The sequence below is a fragment of the Homo sapiens genome, chromosome 8 (genome assembly GCF_000001405.40).
Source record: "Homo sapiens chromosome 8, GRCh38.p14 Primary Assembly".
NCBI lineage: Eukaryota > Metazoa > Chordata > Mammalia > Primates > Hominidae > Homo > Homo sapiens.
This window is the reverse complement of record NC_000008.11, coordinates 56,047,429-56,065,639: the sequence shown is the minus strand read 5'-3', so window position 1 is coordinate 56,065,639 and position 18,211 is coordinate 56,047,429. Positions and strand designations below refer to the sequence as shown.

Genomic DNA, 18,211 nt, shown 5'->3' with positions numbered 1-18,211 from the left:
GTCCTCCAATCCTATTCTTTTTCAAAACTGTTTTGGCTATTTGTTATCCCTTGAGAGTCCACATGAATTTACAGATACATTTTTCTATTTCTGCAAAAATGCCATTGGTATTTTGATAGGTATTGTGTTGAATCTGTAGATAGACCTCTTTGGGTAGTATTGACATCTTAACAATATTCAGTATTCTAATCCATAAACATAGGATGTCTTTACATTTATTTGAATCTTCTTTTATTTCTTTTAGCAATATTTTGTGGTTTTCAGTGTATAAGTCTTTCACCTCCTTGGTTAAGTTTATTCCTATGCATTTTACTCTTTTTGGTGCTATTGAAAATTGGATTGTTGCCAGGAGCGGTGGCTCACGCCCTGTGATCCCAGCACTTTGGGAGTCCGAGGTGAGTGGATCAAGAGGTCAGGAGTTCAATACCAACCTGGCCAAGATGGTGAAACCCCGTCTCTACTAAAAAATACAAAAAAATTAGACGGGCACGGTGGCAGGCGCCTGCAATCCCAGCTATTCACGAGGCTGAGGCAGGGAATTGCTTGAACCCTAAAGGCAGAGATTGCAGTGAGCCGAGATCATGCCATTGCACTCCAGTCTGGGCGACAGAGTAAGACTCCATCTCAAAAACAAAAACAAAAAAAGACAAGAAAATAGGATTGTTTTCTTAGTTTACTTGCCAGATTATTTACTGTTAGTGTATAGAAATGCACCTGATATTTGTATTAATTTTGTGTGCTGCAATTTTGCTGAATTTGTTCATTAGTTTTCAATCTTTTGTGATATAATACCATGTCATCTGTGAATAAATACTTCTTTCCTTTCAGTTTGGATGTATTTTATTTCTCTTTCTTGTGTAATTGCTCTAGGACTTCCACTGCTATGTTAAATAGAAGTTGCAAGAGTGAGCCATCCTTGCCTTGTTCCTCATCTTAGAGGAACAGCTTTCAATTGTTTACTATTGAGTGTAATATTAGCTGTAAGCTTTTCATATATAGCTTGTATTACATTGAGGTAATTTCCTTCTATCCTAGTTTATTGAATTTTTTTAAATCTTAGTTCTTCTTAAAATGTTTTGTAGAATTCACCTGTGAAGTCCTGTGGTCCTGGGGTTTTCTTTGTTGGGAGGTATTTTGGTTGCTGATTAAATCCTTACTAGTCATAGGTCTGTTTGGGTTTTTTATTTCTTCATGAATTAGTTCTGGTATGCTGTATATTTCTAGGAATTTATCCATTTCTTCTAGATTACCCAATTTGCTGGTGTATAATTGTTCATTGTATTCTTGTTAATCCTTTTAATTTCTGTAGCATCATTTATAATGTCCCATATGGCATTTCTAATTTTAGTTATCTTCTCTCTTTTTTCTTGGTTAATCTAGCTCAGAGTTTGCCAATTTTTTGACCTTTTCAAAAAACCAACTCTTAGTTTCATTTTTAAATTCCATTTATATCTCTGTTCTAATCTTAGTTATTTTCCTCCTTTTTTTTGCTAACTTCGGGTTTCATTTTTTCTCCTTTTTCTTGAGGTTTAAAAGGGTTTCTTGCAGGGCGCAGTGGCTCACGCCTGTAATTCCAGCACTTTGGGAGGCCGAGGTGGGCGGATCATGAGGTCAGGAAATTGAGACCATCCTGGCTAACACACGGTGAAACCCCATCTCTACTAAAAATACAAAAAAATTAGCCGGGCGTGGTGGCGGACGCCTGTAGTCCCAGCTTCTCAGGAGGCTGAGGCGGGAGAATCGCTTGAACCCGGGAGGCGGAGCTTGCAGTGAGCCGAGATCACGCCACTGCACTCCAGCCTGGGCGACAGAGCAAGACTCCGTCTCAAAAAAAAATAAAAAAATAAGAACAATAATAATAAAAAGCGTTTCTTGAGGTATAAAATTAGGGGTTTCTTGAGGTATAAAATTAGGTTGTTTCTTTTAGCTATTTCCTCTTCTTTTTTCTTAGAGATACAGTATGGCTCTGTCACCCCAGCTGGAGTGCAGTGGAAGGGTCACAGTTCACTGCAACCTCGAACTCCTGGGCTCAAGCAATCTTCCTACCTCAGCCTCCTTAGCAACTGTAACTACAGGGCCACTATGTCCAGCTATTTTTTATTTATTATTTTTTGTAGAGATGGGTTCTCACTATGTTGTCCAGGCTAGTCTTGAACTCCTGGTTTTAATCAATCCTCCTACCTCAGCCTCCCAAAGATCTGGGAGTACAGGCATGAGGCATCACACCTGGCCTATTTCTTCTTTTTTAATGTAAGCATTTACAGCTATAATCTTCCTTCTTGGTAATGCTTTCACCGCATTCCATAAGTTTTGATATATTGTATTTTCATTTTCATTTGTCTCAAGATATTTTCTAATTTCTCTTGTGATTTATTTTTTTCTTTTTCTTTCTCTCTCTTTTTTTTTTTTTTTTTTTTTTTGAGACAGAGTCTCACTCTGTTGCCCAGGCTGGAGTGCAGTGGCACAATCTTGTCTCACTACAACCTCCGCCTCCCAGGTTCAAGCAATTCTCCAGCCTCAGCCTCCCGAGTAGCTGGGATTACAGGTTCCTGCCACCACACCCGGCTGATTTTTTGTATGTTTAATACAGACGGGGTTTCACCATGTTAGCTGGGCTGGCCTCGAACTCCTGACCTCAAGTGATCTGCCTGCCTCAGCCTCCAAAGTGCTGGGATCACAGGCGTGAGCCACCGTGCCTGGCTTAGAAATGGGGTTTCACCATGTTGGCAAGGCTGGTCTCGAACTCCTGATTTCAGGTCATCCACAGGCCTCGGCCTCCCAAAGTCCTGGGATTACAGGCGTGAGCCACTGTGCCCGGCCTCTTGTGGTTTCTTCTTTGACTCATTGGTTGTTTAATAGTTTGCTCTTTAATTGCCACATGTGTGTGGATTTTCCGTTTTCCTTCTGCTACTGATTTCTAGTTTCATTCTATCGTGGTTGGAAACGATTACTTTGTATGATTTCAGTCTTCTTAAATTTGTTAAGACTTGTTCTGTGGCCTAACCTGTGATTTATTCTGGAGAATGATCTCTGCACTTGAGAAGAATGTGTATTCTGCTGTTGTTGGATGGCGTGTTCTCTATATGTCTATCAGGTCTAATTGGTCTATAATGTTCAAGTCTTGTTTCCTTATTGATCTTCTGTCTGGTTGACTTAGTCTACTTCGTCTGACAGTAGAATGGCCACCTCTGCTCTCTTTTGGTTACCATTTGCATGGAATAACTTTTTCCATTTTTTCACTTTCAGCCTATGTGCATCCTAGATCTAAAGTGAATCTCTTATAGAAAGCATACAGTTGGATCTTGTTTTTTTTTTTTTAATTCATTCAACCAATCTGTGTCTTTTGATTGGGGAGTTTAATTCATTTATATTTAAATTAATTACTGATAATGAATGACTTACTATTGCCATTTTGTTGTTTTCTGTGTATCTTGTAACTATTTTTTCTCTCTTCCTCTTGTACTGCCTTCCTTTATGTTTCATTAGTTTATTTTTATTTATTTATTTATTTTTGAGATGGAGTTTCGCTCTTGTTGCCCAAGCTGGAGTGCAATGGCGCGATCTCGGCTCACTGCAACCTCCGCCTCCTGGCTTCAAGTGATTCTCCTGCCTCAGCCTCCAGAGTAGCTGGGATTACAGGCATGCGCCACCATGCCCAGGTAATTTTTTGTTTTTAGTAGAGATGGGGTTTCACCATGTTAGCTGGGCTGGTCTCCACCTCCTGACCTCAGGTGATCTGCCCACCTTGGTCCCCCAAAGTGCTGGGATTATAGGTGTGAGCCATCTTGCCCGGCCTCATTAATTTTTGTAGTGACATGCTTTGATTCCCTCCTCTTTTCCTTGTGTGTATCTTCTATAAGTATTTTTTTTGTAGTTACTATGGGGATTATATAAAACATCTTAAAGTTATAATAATCTATTTTAAACTGATACAACTTAACTTTAATCACTTACGAAAACTCTACTTTGTTACATATTTGTCCTCTGGTGAATTTTTCAGTTCAGCTATTTTTCCACTCCAGAATGTGTGTTTTTCTTTTTAATAGTTTTAATTTCTTTATTGATATTCTCATTTTATTCATGCATTGTCTTTCTGACTTTGTTTAGTTGTCTATTTGTGTTCTCTTTTAGCTAATTGAGCTTCTCTATAATGATTATTTTTAATTGTTTATCAGTTAATTCATAGTTCTCTACTTCTTTAGAGTTGGTTGCTGAAGATTTATTTTGTTCATTTGATTGGGCCATTGTGTTGGTCTGTTTCTGTGTTGCTGTAAAGAAACACCTGGGGATGGGTAATTTATAAAGCAAAGAAGTTTAATTGGCTCATGGTTCTGCAGGCTATACCAGCATGGCTCCAGCATCTGCTTCTGGTGAGGGCCTCAGGAAACTTAATCATGGCGGAAGGCAAAGTGGGAGCAGCCACATCACATGGCAAAAGTGGGAGCAAGAGAACAAGGGGAGAGGAGCCACATACTTTTAAACAACTAGATGTTGTGTGAATTCAGAGTGAGAAATCACTTATAACCAAGGGGATAGTGCTAAACCATCCATGAGGGATCCACTGCCATGATTCAGTCACCTCCTATCAGGCCCCACCTCCAACATTGGTAATCACATTTCAACATGAGATTTGGAGGGGACAAACATCCGAACCGTATGAGCCATGTTTCCCTCTTTTGTATGTCTTGTGACATCTTGTTGGGATTGTCTCTTCCAGTCCATATGGACTGGCTTCATATAGGAGATCTTCACAAGAAGCCTGACATAGATGGTGGGCGACTTCTCAAACCTTTCTTGGGGATGCATTTCCTTTCTTTCTTTCTTTTTTTTTTTTTTTTTTTTTTTTTGAGATGGAGTCTCGCTCTGTTGCCCAGGCTAGAGTGCAGCGGCATGATCTCGGCTCATTGCAGCCTCTGCCTCCCAGGTTCAAGCGATTCTTCTGCCTCAGCACCCCTGAGTAGCTGGGACTACAGGCATGCGCCACTGCACCCGGCTAATTTTTGACTACAGGAACGTGCCACCACGCCCGGCCAGGGATCCATTTTCTCTGGGCCTGTGTGTGTAATTTTCTTTTATTTATTTTTTATTTGTAGAGACAAGTTCTCACTATGTTGCCCAGGCGGGTTTCAAAACTCCTGAGCTCAAGCCATCCTTCTGCCTTGGCCTGCCAAAGTGTTAGCATTATAGGCATGAGCTACTGCTCCTGGCACGGGTTTGTGGGTGTGTGTGTGTAATGTTCTAGTTAAAAAGCTTGTGTGTGTGTGTGTGTGTGTAATGTTCTAGTTAAAAGGCTTGCCCGTTTTCTCAGGAGTTCATGATCTCTTACTCCCTCTGGTGTCTGTCTTCAGTACTGCAGCTTTCCTGTAGCAACTCATGTGACACTTACCTTTTTCAGTGGTCCCCAACCTATCATCCAAACTATGCGTCTTCTGCTCTGAGTTCACTGAGTCAAGCAAGGCAGAAAGTAGTCTGTTGGACGGCCCCCAGAAAGCCAGGATGTTGGGCTCATGTTTCACTCTTCTTTTTCCCTTGGCAGGGAGAAGCTGGGAGTTGTGAGTTTTCTTCCACTCCATGTTGCATTGGGAACGCAGAGGGGTTAGGGTTGGCAAAATGTAAGACATTTTCTTACCCACTTTGATGTAGTTAGTCTTGGCTTTGTACGCACCTGAGTGCTGCGACCTCTTTGGTTTCTGGAGCTCTCACAAAGGCAGTTTGGTCCGCATATTGTTGTTAAGTTGGTGTCTCCGTGGGAAAACGGGACTGGGGCTTCCTATTCTGCCACCTTGCTATTATCACTCTAATGACTCTTTTTTTTTCTTTTGAGATGGAGTTTCACTCTTGTTGCCCAGGCTGGATTGCAATGGCATGATCTCGGCTAGCTGCAACTCCGCCTCCTGGGTTCGAGCGATTCTCCTGCCTCAGCCTCCTGAATAGCTGGTATTACAGGTGCCCGCTACCATGCCTGGCTAATTGTTTTGTATTTTTAGTAGAGACGGGGTTTCACCATATTGGCCAGGCTGCTCTTGAACTCCTGTCCTCAAGTGATCCACCTGCCTTGGCCTCCCAAAGTGCTGGGATTACAAGTGTGAGCCACTGCGCCCCGCTCGAATGACTCTTTTAAAAACATAATTATATATCATTATAACAACTAACAGTAACAATTCTTAAATTCTTTTTTTTTCTGTTTTTCTAAATGAGATGGGGGTCTCGCTCTGTTTCCTGGGCTGGAGTACAGTGGTGTGATCACAGCTGATTGCAGCCTCGACCTCCCAGGCCCAAGTGATTCTCTCACCTTAGCCTCCTGAGTAGCTGGGACCACAGGCGTGTGCCACCATGCCCGGCTAATTTTTTTTTTTAGAGATGGGTGTCTCATTATGTTGCCTAGACTGGTCTCAAACTCCTGGGCTCAAGCTATCCTCCCTTCGTGACCTCCCAAAGTGCTGGGATTACAGGCATGAGCCACTGTGCGGGGTCAACAATTCTATTTTTTTTTTTTTTTTTCGAGACGGAGTCTCGCTTTGTGTCTACGCTGGAGTGCAGTGGTGTGATCTTAGCTCGCTGCAACCTCTGCCTCCCAGGTTTAAGCGATTCTCCTGCCTCAGCCTCCCAAGTAACTGGGATTATAGGCGTGTGCCACCATGCCCGGCTAATTTTTGTATTTTTAATAGAGACAGGGTTTCACCATGTTGGCCAGGCTGATCTCAAACTCCTGACCTCAGGTTATCCACCCACCTCAGCCTCCCAAAGTGCTGGGATTACAGGCATGAGCCACCACGCCTGGCCCTCAACAATTTTTAATATCATGAAATATCCAATGGCGTTCAAATTTCCTTGAGTGTTTTTACTTCTTGTTTGAATCAAGATCAAATAGGTTGACGTGTTTCTTAAATCTCTTTTAATCTAGTAGTTTCTTTCCATATAAAAAGGCATATAGATACAGACAATCCTCATTTTGCTCAGTAGTATGAGACCAAAGAAAATAACCATACAGCCGGGCGTGGTGGCTCACACCTGTAATCCCAGCACTTCGGGAGGCTGAGGCAGGTGGATCATGAGGTCAGAAGTTCGAGACCAGCCTGACCAACATAGTGAAATCCCGTCTCTACTAAAAATACAAAAATTAGCCGGGCATGGTGGTGCTCGCCTGTAGTCCCAGCTACTCGGGAAGCTGAGGCAGGAGAATCACTTGAACCCAGGAGGGAGAAGTTGTGATTAGCTGAGATCACCCCACTGCACCCCACCCTGGGTGACAAGAGCAAAACTCTGTCTCAAAAACAAAAAAACAAAAAAACAAAAAGAAAAGAACCATACAAGCTGAGAATATGCAAGAGGATCATAATAATCAATAGGGAATTTTTTTATTGTTCTATGGACCTGTAAAATTTTTGTGAAAACATTAAAAAGCCTCTTACTGTGAGTTATAAATGTAAAGGGAAATGGAAAATAATAAAAAAGTAAAACTAATATTTAACACACTGTCATCTAATACGTTAGCAATATTGAGAATTAAAGCATTATATTTCTTTCTTCAAAATATTCAGTTGTTATTTGAACAGTGTTTGCTTTCTTCACTCATCATATAACTTATAAGAATTTTTTAGGCTGGGTGCGGTGGCTCATGCCTGTAATCTCAGCACTTTGGGAGACCGAGGCGGGTGGATCACCTGAGGTCAGGAGTTTGAGACCAGCCTGGCCAACACAGTGAAACCCTGTCTCTACTAAAAATACAAAAATTGTCTGGGCATGGTGGTGTGTGCCTGTAATTCCATCTACGTGGGAGGCTGAGGCGGGATAATTGCTTGAACCCGGGAGGCAGAGGGTGCAGTGAGACAAGACAGCGCCACTGCACTCCAGCCTGGGCTACAGAGCAAGACTCCGTCTCCAAAAAAAAAAAAAAAAGAATCGTTTTCTGTGACCAAATAACTAAGAAATATTTTTTCTTCCCCTTTGCTGATAGAAAACACATCCTCCTCTTCCTTCCCTGTGGTCCTTCCTATCCACCAGGAGGCGGAGGTTGCAGTGAGCCGAGACCAAGCCATTGCACTCCAGCCTGGGCAACAAGAGCAAGAAACTCTGTTTCAAAAAAAAAAAAAAAGAATTTTTTTCCATGCCTTGAGGAACCATCATACTATTAACTTTGAATCAGCTTCCAACATTTTATCCTTTGTGCTTTCAATGTCATGAAATATTTCTAGATTTTCATTATTATAAAGTTTGTTGATGGCGTCACTTCTTCTGGGGAATTTTCTTTCTTTCTTTTTTTTTTTTTTTTTGAGACAGAGTCTCGCTCTGTTGCTCAGGCTGGAGTGCAGCGTTGCGATCTCGGCTCAGTGCAACCTCTGCCTCCTGGGTTCAAGTGATTCTCCTGCCTCAGCCTCCTGAGTAGCTGGGATTACAGGCATGCACCACCACACCTGGCTAATTTTTGTATTTTTTTTTTTTTAGTAGAGACAGGGTTTCACCATGTTGGCCAGGCTGGTCTCGAACTCCTGACCTCAAGTGATCCACCCGCCTCAGCCTCCCAAAGTGCTGGGATTACAGGCGTGAGCCACTGTGCCCAGCCTCTTCTGGGGCATTTTCATTCTTTTCATCACAACAACTTTCCTCATTCATGTCAATAAATCTGCCTTCACTAAGTTCCTCTGGCTACACAGCCAGAGGAACTTCTCAGGTGTTAGTAGTATCCACATGCTCGTCGTCAACTATTTTTTCTAAACTCCATTTACATTTGATTTAAATTTCACTTCCAGCATTATCACTTTTTGTTTCTTTGATATGCTTTTGTCTTTGTTGTCCAGTTCCCTGTTCTGACATTCATTTTTGTGAAATGTTATGTGGGTTTATCACTGGGAGATAAGGAGGTGATACAACTACACACTTTGCTATCTTTGCAGTCTCCATGAGAACTGAATGACAGTTGTGTGATGACCAATCACCAGACTTTGAAAGAAGTTACATGATCATGATTGATGACTGATCATTATGTGTATGTTATTTACTTAGTGATTTGTGGACTGAAGAGCTAGCCATGAAATTTGTACTTTATGCAGTTACTCATAATTAATATACAGTGCTAACTGATGTTTGAAATGTGTTGTTGAAGGATTGGTATTATTTAACTACACTATTATAATTGAAATTCATGCTTATCAGAACTTTGAAAAGCAATGAGTGCCTGTTTTAGGATTAGCTTTGATTCTTCAGGGGGCAGTTGTCTCATTTGGCTTTTCTCTCTAATGCTGCTGTTTTCCTTATATTTCTGGGAATCTTGGATTTCTTTTATTTATAATTAAGCGTTAAAATTAAATTTTTATTTCTAGGAACAGGTTTGGATTTTCCCTGTCCTTATATAGATATGCCAGTTTCTCTTATAATGTCCTCCTCTGACATTTGAAGGATTTGCATGGACTTCCCTTTTGGGTACACCTGTAGGAAGCGATATGGGGGATCCCTCACAACAGACACCACGAAAATACTAAAACGAAGAGCAACAATCCTCACACTTGAGACCTTAGCTCTTCCCAGGGTTTTTTCAACTTATAAATGGGTACAGCTTCCTTTATCCTTGGTGAGGCTGGAGCTTGTGGCAGAGGCTACCTGGCATAGGTATTTCATTAACACACTGCTAAGTCTTAATGTAAGCCCCTTTTTCAGGCTCCTTCAAAATCCTACATTCTGTACCAGACTTATCCCCACCTAGAGCTGCCAGAGACCCAGGAAAAGCAGTTCCCACCACCACACCCCAATATGACCATATTCTTGGGTGTGGCCTCCTTCATTCTGTTTCATCCTTCAGCAGGCCTTCCACCACTTTTTGAATTCCAGAAAGTTGTTGAAATCACAAGTCCGTATCCATTCTCTTTGTTCCTTGGTTTTCCTCTGCAAGAATTTCAGTGAGGTCTCCAGGCAGACAGAAAGCAAATATCATTACTGAGTCTGCAATTCTGAGCTGAGATTTAATTGATTCTTAAAGTTTCTCAAGTGTCTGTTTTATGTAGATAACTCCTCAAGGACCCTTCTCATTATGAAGAGAGGGAGGGTAGCACAATGCTTAAGGGTAGAGGCTCCTGAGCCAGACTATGTGGATTTCAAATTTGACTCTGCTCTTTCTCAGCTGATACTTTGGCTATGTTACTTACACTCTTGTACCTTAGTTTTCTCATCTATAAAATAATGCCTCATGGAATTGCTTGAAGAGTAAATTAGCTAATATTTTTAATGTTAGCTAGGACGGTGCTTGGCAGAGAGTAGGAGCTATGTAAGTATTTGAAAACGAATGAGTCCAGGCACAGTGGCTCACGCCTGTAATCACAGCACTGTGGGAGGCCAAGGCGGGTAGATCACCTGAGGTCAGGAGTTCGAGACCAGCCTGGCCAACGTGGCGAAACCCCATCTCTAGCAAAAATACAATAATTAGGTGGGCATGGTGGTGCGTGCCTATAATCCCAGCTACTTGGGAGGCTGAGGCAGGAGAATCTCTTGAACCCAGGCCGGAGGTTGCAGTGAGCCCAGATCGCACCACTGCACTCCAGCCTGGGTGACAAGAAGAAAACTCTGTCTCAAAAAGAAAAAAAAAAAAAGAAGAAGAAAATCAATGAATTTGAACTTAGAAACAAAATGTATCTGAAAATGCAATGCCTTGAATTTCTTGTCTCGCTCCTATCTGGTACAGCATTCCCTGAACACAAGAAGTTTACATTTTTTCTTTCTGCTTAGAAATCAACCTGGGTACTCGGGAGGCTGAGGCAGGAGAATGGCGTGAACCCGGGAGGCGGAGCTTGCAGTGAGCCGAGATCGCGCCACTGCACTCCAGCCTGGGCGACAGAGCGAGACTCCATCTCAAAAAAAAAAAAAAAAAAAAAAAAAAAGAAATCAACCTGGGGTGACTGCTTTTGCAGTTAAGTAGGTGGTTAATAAAAACTAAATTTTTCTCTATTTGAATAACTATGCGTATCCCTGATAAGACACTCAGGCACCTTGGTAGCCACTGAAATGAATTCACCATACATCAAACTAATAGAAGCAAGAGAAACAATCTGGCAAAGAAATACTCAATGAAATAAATTCCAAACATCTGTTTCCTTTTATATTTATTAATCATTGCATTCTCACAATATTTCAGCCAAAGCCTGGGGAAAGTGAGAACTCTACCTATTTAAATAAGTTCAACAAAAAGCCCATAATAAAATATTTAGCATAAGACACAGATCTAAAAAATGAAAAGACATAGATCTAACAAAACTGCAATTAAAGAACTGTGCATTGTTTTCCTATAAGTGATTTGTCAGATGTTTTAAAATTATATATTTCTTATTATTTGTTCACTTAAGATTTATCACTTTGTACATTAATCAAGTCTCAAGTGTTTTCATCTCCAAGAGTCACACTGTGAGCTTGAATCTTTTTCAAAGAAAAATCCCATTAAGCTTTGCTTTAAAGAAAACAAAGGAAAACTCACAGGAGCAAAAAGTATTTTGTCTCCTAAAATTGAAGAAAGAGGCCAGGCGCGGTGGCTCACGCCTGTATTCCAAGCACTTTGGGAGGCCAAGGCGGGTGGATCACCTGAGGTTGGGGTTCGAGACCAGCCTGGCCAACATGGTGAAACCCTGCTTCTACTAAAAATACAAAAATTAGCTGGGCGTGGTGGCAGGTGCCTGTAATCCCAGCTACTCAGGAGGCTGAGGCAGGAGAATCACTTGAACCTGGGAGGTGGAGGGTGTAGTGAGCTGAGATCACACCACTGCACTCCAGCCTGGGAGACAGAGCAAGACTCTGTCTCAGAAAAAAAAAAAAAGAGGGAAGAGACATAAACCAGTGCTATAAAAGCTGTGAGCCTGATTTATCACAGTTGTTACCACAATGCCAGAAAATAATCTTGACAAGCACAAGTTCTTTAAAGATTCTTCTTTTTATTTTTCTTTCAAAACAATCTCAAATTTACATAAAAGCTGAAAGAACAGTACACAGAACATTTTTCTCAGCCATTTTGTATAAGTTGCTAACATGATGCTCCATTGTCCTAAACACTTCAACATGTATTTTTACAAAAACATACATTCTGCATCCCAACCCTAATGCAAACATAAAAATTAGGAATATTACAATGACACATCATACCTAGTCCTCCTTATTCAATTTCACCAATTGTCTTCGACTTGCCTTTAGAGTGCAAGGATCCAGATGAGAATCAGGCATCACGCTGAGTTAACATAACAGGTCTCTTTAGTCTCATTTGGCTCAGAACAGCTCTTCAGCCTGCCTTTGATTTTCCTGGCCTTGACACTTTAGGAGATGACAAGGCACTGCCCCACTTGGACCCCTTTCTAGCACCACTCAGGCTCCAGCCCCTCACTCAGGGCTGATTCCATGTCCCCTTCCCCCATATAGGCACCCTTTTTACCCATTGGGACACCAGCACCCTGCACCTGGGAGCCCCTTCCACAGACACCCACTTCGCCCAGCTCAGGCTCTGACACTCTGCAGCAGGGCCACTGTGGCTCCCTACTGCCCTATAAGGATGGTCACATGCAGGGGCTGAGTTGCTGACGGAGGGAAGGGAAGGGGAAGAAAAAGAAAAGGAAAAGGTGCTGGGCACGGTGGCTCAAGCCTGTAATGCCATCACTTTGGGATCTGGAGGAATGGACTAGTAGTTGTAATAATCACAAAAGGACTCCTGTGGGAACGGACAGTTTGCCATTGCAGAATATAAATCCACATTTCACAATCTCTTACTACTTTAAATGTATTTATACAATAATTTACTGATTTCATTTCAGTTTGAACAAGGTCAATAGAATATCATTTTTGTCTACACACATGTTTAAGACATGTGAATTCTGTGTGTGCTTTTCATCAACCATGACTTTTTTTTTCGAGACAAGGTCTTGCTGGGAGGCCCAGGCTGGTGGATCACTCAAAGCCAGGAGTTCCAGACCAGCCTGGACAACATGGGGAAACCCCGTCTCTACTAAATATACAAAAATTAGCTGGGCGTAGTGGCACGCGCCTATAATTCCAGCTAATCCGGAGGCTGAGGCATGAGAATCTCTTGAACCCCAGAGGCGGAGGTTGAAGTGAGCCGAGATCATGCCACTGTACTCCAGCCTGGATAACAGAGCAAGACCCTGTCTCAAAAAAAAAAAAAGTCATGTTTGACTATGATTATTAAAAACACACACAGAAGCCACATATCTTAAACGCTTGTGTACACAAAAATGATATTCTATCTACTTTGTTCGAACTGAAATGAAATCAGTAAACTATTGTATACATACATTTAAACTAGCAAGAGATTCTGAAATGTGGATTTATATTCTGCAATGGCAAACTGTCCGTTCCCACAGGAGTCCCTTTGTGATTATCGCAACTACTAGTCCATTCCTCCAGAGCCTCCTGCCTGGGCTGTTGCAATGGCTTCTTTGCTGGTCTTCCTGCTTTCACCCTTGCCCCCATCCCCAGGCTCATTCTGTGTTTTCAATGGAGGCTAAAATTATCTTTCAAATATTTAAATCGGATCATATAACTTTTCTGTTTAAACTTCTGTAATAGAGACTTCTAGTTTCTGCTCACAATATACAGAACTAGAAAGGGAGTCACCTTCACCTGAACCAAATGCAAGTTCGTGACTTTTCTTGAACCCATAGGGGAGCTGAGGTTGGTTTGTTGTTGTTGGTTTTTGTTTTTGTTTTTGAGACGGAGTCTTGCTCTGTCGCCCAGGCTGGAGTGCTATCGTGTGATCTCAGCTCACTGCAACCTCTGCTTCCCCAGTTCAAGCAATTCTCATGCCTCAGCCTCCTGAGTAGCTGGGATTACAGGCGGTGGCCACCACACTGGCTAATTTGTGTATTTTTAATGGAGACGGGGTTTCACCATGTTGACGAGGCTGGTCTTGAACTCCTGACCTCAAGCGATCTACCCGCCTTGGCCTCCCAAAGTTCTGGGATTATAGGCATGAGCCACCACACCCAGCCATGCTGTTGTTGTTGTTGTTGTTGTTGTTGTTGTTTTGAGATGGAGTCTCGCTCTGTTGCCCAGGCTGGAGTGCAGTGGCATGATCTCAGCTCACAAAGCCTCTGCCTCTTGAGTTCAAGAGATTCTCCTGCCTCAGCCTCCTGAGTAGCTGGGACCACAGGTGTGCGCCACCACACCAGGCTAATTTTTGTATTTTTAGTAGAGATGGGGTTTTGCCATGTTGCCAGGCTGGTCTCCAACTCCTGGCCTCAAGTGATCTGCCCGCCTCGGCCTCCCACAGTGCTGGGATTACAGGCATGAGCCACCATGCCTTGCCAAGCTGAGATCTTAAGGCAACCAACTAGCTTGAAGTCTAAGGAGAGATGGGGGCCTGCTGAGAGAGACAAAATGTAAGCATTTGCTTCCCTAGGCCAGATGCAGTTGCTAAGACAAATTAAATATTTTTCATTCTTCTTCTCATCATGGCGGACCCTAGAGATAAGGCGCTTAGGGACTACCGCAAGAAGGTGCTTGAGCACAAGGAGATCGATGGCCGTCTTAAGGAGTTAAGGGAACAATTAAAAGAACTTACCAAGCAGTATGAAAAGTCTGAAAATGATCTGAAGGCCCTACGAAGTGTTGGGCAGATTGTGGGTGAAGTGTTTAAACAGTTAACTGAAGAAAAATTCATTGTTAAAGCTACCAATGGACCAAGATATGTTGTGGGTTGTCGTCGACAGCTTGACAAAAGTAAGCTGAAGCCAGGAACAAGAGTTGCTTTGGATATGACTACACTAACTATCATGAGATATTTGCCAAGAGAGGTGGATCCACTGATTTATAACATGTCTCATGAGGACCCTGAGAATGTTTCTTATTCTGAGATTGGAGGGCTATCAGAACAGATCCGGGAATTAAGAGAGGTGATAGAATTACCTCTTACAAACCCAGAGTTATTTCAGCGTGTAGGAATAATACCTCCAAAAGGCTGTTTGTTATATGGACCACCAGGTACGGGAAAAACACTCTTGGCACGAGCCATTGCTAGCCAGCTGGACTGCAATTTCTTAAAGGTTGTATCTAGTTCTATTGTAGACAAGTACATTGGTGAAAGTGCTCATTTGATCAGAGAAATGTTTAATTATGCTAGAGATCATCAACCATGCATCATTTTTATGGATGAAATAGATGCTATTGGTGGTCGTCGGTTTTCTGAGGGTACTTCAGCTGACAGAGAGATTCAGAGAACGTTAACGGAGTTACTGAATCAAATGGATGGATTTGATACTCTGCATAGAGTTAAAATGATCATGGCTACAAACAGACCAGATACACTGGATCCTGCTTTGCTGTGTCCAGGAAGATTAGATAGAAAAATACATATTGATTTGCCAAATGAACAAACAAGATTAGACATACTGAAAATCCATGCAGGTCCCATTACAAAGCATGGTGAAATAGATTATGAAGCAATTGTGAAGCTTTCAGATGGCTTTAATGGAGCAGACCTGAGAAATGTTTGTACTGAAGCAGGTATGTTCGCAATTCGTGCTGATCATGATTTTGTAGTACAGGAAGACTTCATGAAAGCAGTCAGAAAAGTGGCTGATTCTAAGAAGCTGGAGGCTAAATTGGACTACAAACCTGTGTAATTTACTGTAAGATTTTTGATGGCTGCATGACAGATGTTGACTTAGTGTAAAAATAAAGTTAAAGAAAATAATGTATGTATTGGCAATGATGTCATTAAAAGTATATGAATAAAATAACATCATAAAAATTAGTAGTTCAACTTTTAAGATACAGAAGAAATTTGTATGTTTGTTAAAGTTGCATTTATTGCAGCAAGTTACAAAGGGAGAGTGTTGAAGCTTTTCATATTTGCTGTGTGAGCATTTTGTAAAATATTGAAAGTGGTTTGAGATAGTGGTATAAGAAAGCATTTCTTATGACTTATTTTGTATCATTTGTTTTCCTCATCTAAAAAGTTGAATAAAATCTGTTTGATTAAAAAAAAATTTCATTCTTTATAATTTCTAAGTTTCCTCTGTATTTTGTAATATTTACTATGTATTCATATAGTAATTTGTATAGGTCAAGTTATAAAAACTTGGTCTCATGAGTTTAATGTAAGTCATCTGAATAGTCAATAGTTAAATACATAAACACCTCAGTTAGGGAATATTGTATTCTGAAAAATTATTTTTCAGACAATCAAAGTTTAATCCCATAATTTCCAAAGCTTTGTTTTTATCAATTCCCAGTGGAACTCTTCTGAAATGTGCTATACTTTTCCCTCCTTTATTAAATAGAGTATACTAATAATTACACATGTATAGGCTAGCAGATCCTCTGAACTTTCATTGCTGCACTGTGCTTGAAGACCGTCATGTCCTTAAGGGCCACTGCACCAGGAGAAGCCCTTGAATTCATTTAAAGATATGCTAATCTAGCTATTATTTTCTTACTTCAGGAAAACCTCTAAAGGCCATCTTCTGCAATGACATAATGCCTAGCGGATTACCCTAGCTCTCAAATGGAATGGAGCAGTAGAGCAAGTAGGAGTAGAGTGGACTAGAACACATGTAGGTCCCTGGTCAGCTTTGAGGGCAAGGCTGCCCTTCCAAGGCTTTGAGGGCATATCTGGGGCTGCACAGCCACTCAACTCAAGAGAGTGTTCACGACCATCCAGGCCCAGCCATAGGCTTTCTTAGTATTCTTTTTTTTTTTTTTTTTTTTTCTGAGAGTTCTGCTCTTGTTGCCCAGGCTGGAGTGCAATGGCACAATCTCGGCTCACCTCAATATCCGTCTCCCAGGTTCAAGCGATTCTCACTGTCTCAGCTTCCTGAGTAGCTAGGTCTACAGGCATGCACCACCACGCCCGGCTAATTTTGTATTTTTAGTAGACATGGGGTTTCTCCATGTTGGTCAGGCTGGTCTTGAACTCCTCAGGTGATCTGCCCACCTCGGCCTCCCAAAGTGCTGGAATTACACGCATGAGCCACTGTGCCTGGCTGCTTTCTTAGTATTCTGTATGGTATTGCACCTTGAGCTCTTGCTTGACAAAAGGCTTGTAACTTAGGATCTTTGGATCTCTGTAAATTGTGGATGGACTTCAGTTAATTCACTTTGAGGTTATAGGTAAAAATGACTGATTTTACTGCATAGAAGATCCAAAACTCATTGGATTCTCAGAGGGAATGAGATGGGCTGAGATGTTACTCTTGTAACTCCTAAAAAAAAGAAGTGATGGCAAAAGCTGCCCTAGTCTTGTGGACTAGGCTCAGTCTGAGCTGAGCATGGGGCATAGCTCAATTCTGAGTGAAATGCAACTGCCCACTATAGAAATAGCCCCTGAAGCCTGTGTAAATGTGTATCACACTCAAATTATAGCACTGTCTACACACATCCTGCACCTTGCTTTTTTTCACTTAATGTATCTTGGAAAAATCTTATTTTTGTGTTTATAGAACTATTCTTTTCCAGTGATTACCCAGGATTCCATTGTATGATTACAGCACAATCTATTTATCTGGTACTCTGCAACAGATTGAATGTTTGTGTCTCTTCAAAACCCCTATGTTGAGATCCTAACCCCCAAGGTGATGGTATTATAATGGAGATGAGGCCTTTGGGAGGTGATTGGGTCATGAGGGTGGAGTCCTCCGGAATGGAATTCACACCCTTATAAAAGAGGCTCCAGGCCGAGCGCCTTGGCTCCTGCCTGTAATCCCAGCATTTTGGGAGGCCAAGGCGGGTGGATCACCTGAGATCATGAGTTCCAGACCAGCCTGGCCAACATGGCAAAACCCTATCTCTACTAAAAATACAAAAAAAAAAAAAAAAAAAAAATTAGCCAGGAGTGTGGCACGTGCTTGTAATCCCAGCTACTTAGGAGGCTGAGGCAGGAGGCTCACTTGAACCCAGGAGGCAGAGGTTGCAGTGAGCTGAGATTGCGCCACTGCACTCCAGCCTGGGTGACAAGAGTGAAACTTGGTCTCAAAAAATAAATAAATAAGAGGCTCCAGAGGCTACAAGGAGAAAGGCAGCAGTCTGCAGCCCAGGAGAGGGCTCTCTGCAGAACTTGAATTCTTTTTTTGTTTTTTTGTTTTTTTTGAGATGGAGTCTCACTCTGTTGCCCAGGCTGGAGTGCAGTGGCACGATCTCAGCTCACTGCAACCTCTGCCTCCTGGGTTCTAGCGATTCTCCTGCCTTAGCCTCCCAAGTAGCTGGGATTACAGGTTTGTGCCACCACGCCCGG

At 41.9% G+C, this 18,211-nt stretch overlaps 1 pseudogene, besides 1 other annotated feature; it reads left to right on the top strand.

The window, feature by feature from the left end:
- PSMC6P1 (proteasome 26S subunit, ATPase, 6 pseudogene 1) lies at window positions 14,424-15,961 on the top strand (annotated as a pseudogene).
- Window positions 17,253-17,784: an enhancer, noted in NCBI's record as "NANOG hESC enhancer chr8:56960415-56960946 (GRCh37/hg19 assembly coordinates)". NCBI's record gives its function as "activates a minimal SCP1, AML or CMV promoter by ChIP-STARR-seq in primed H9 embryonic stem cells {active_cell/tissue: H9 hESC(primed)}" and the evidence as "EXISTENCE:reporter gene assay evidence [ECO:0000049][PMID:30033119]".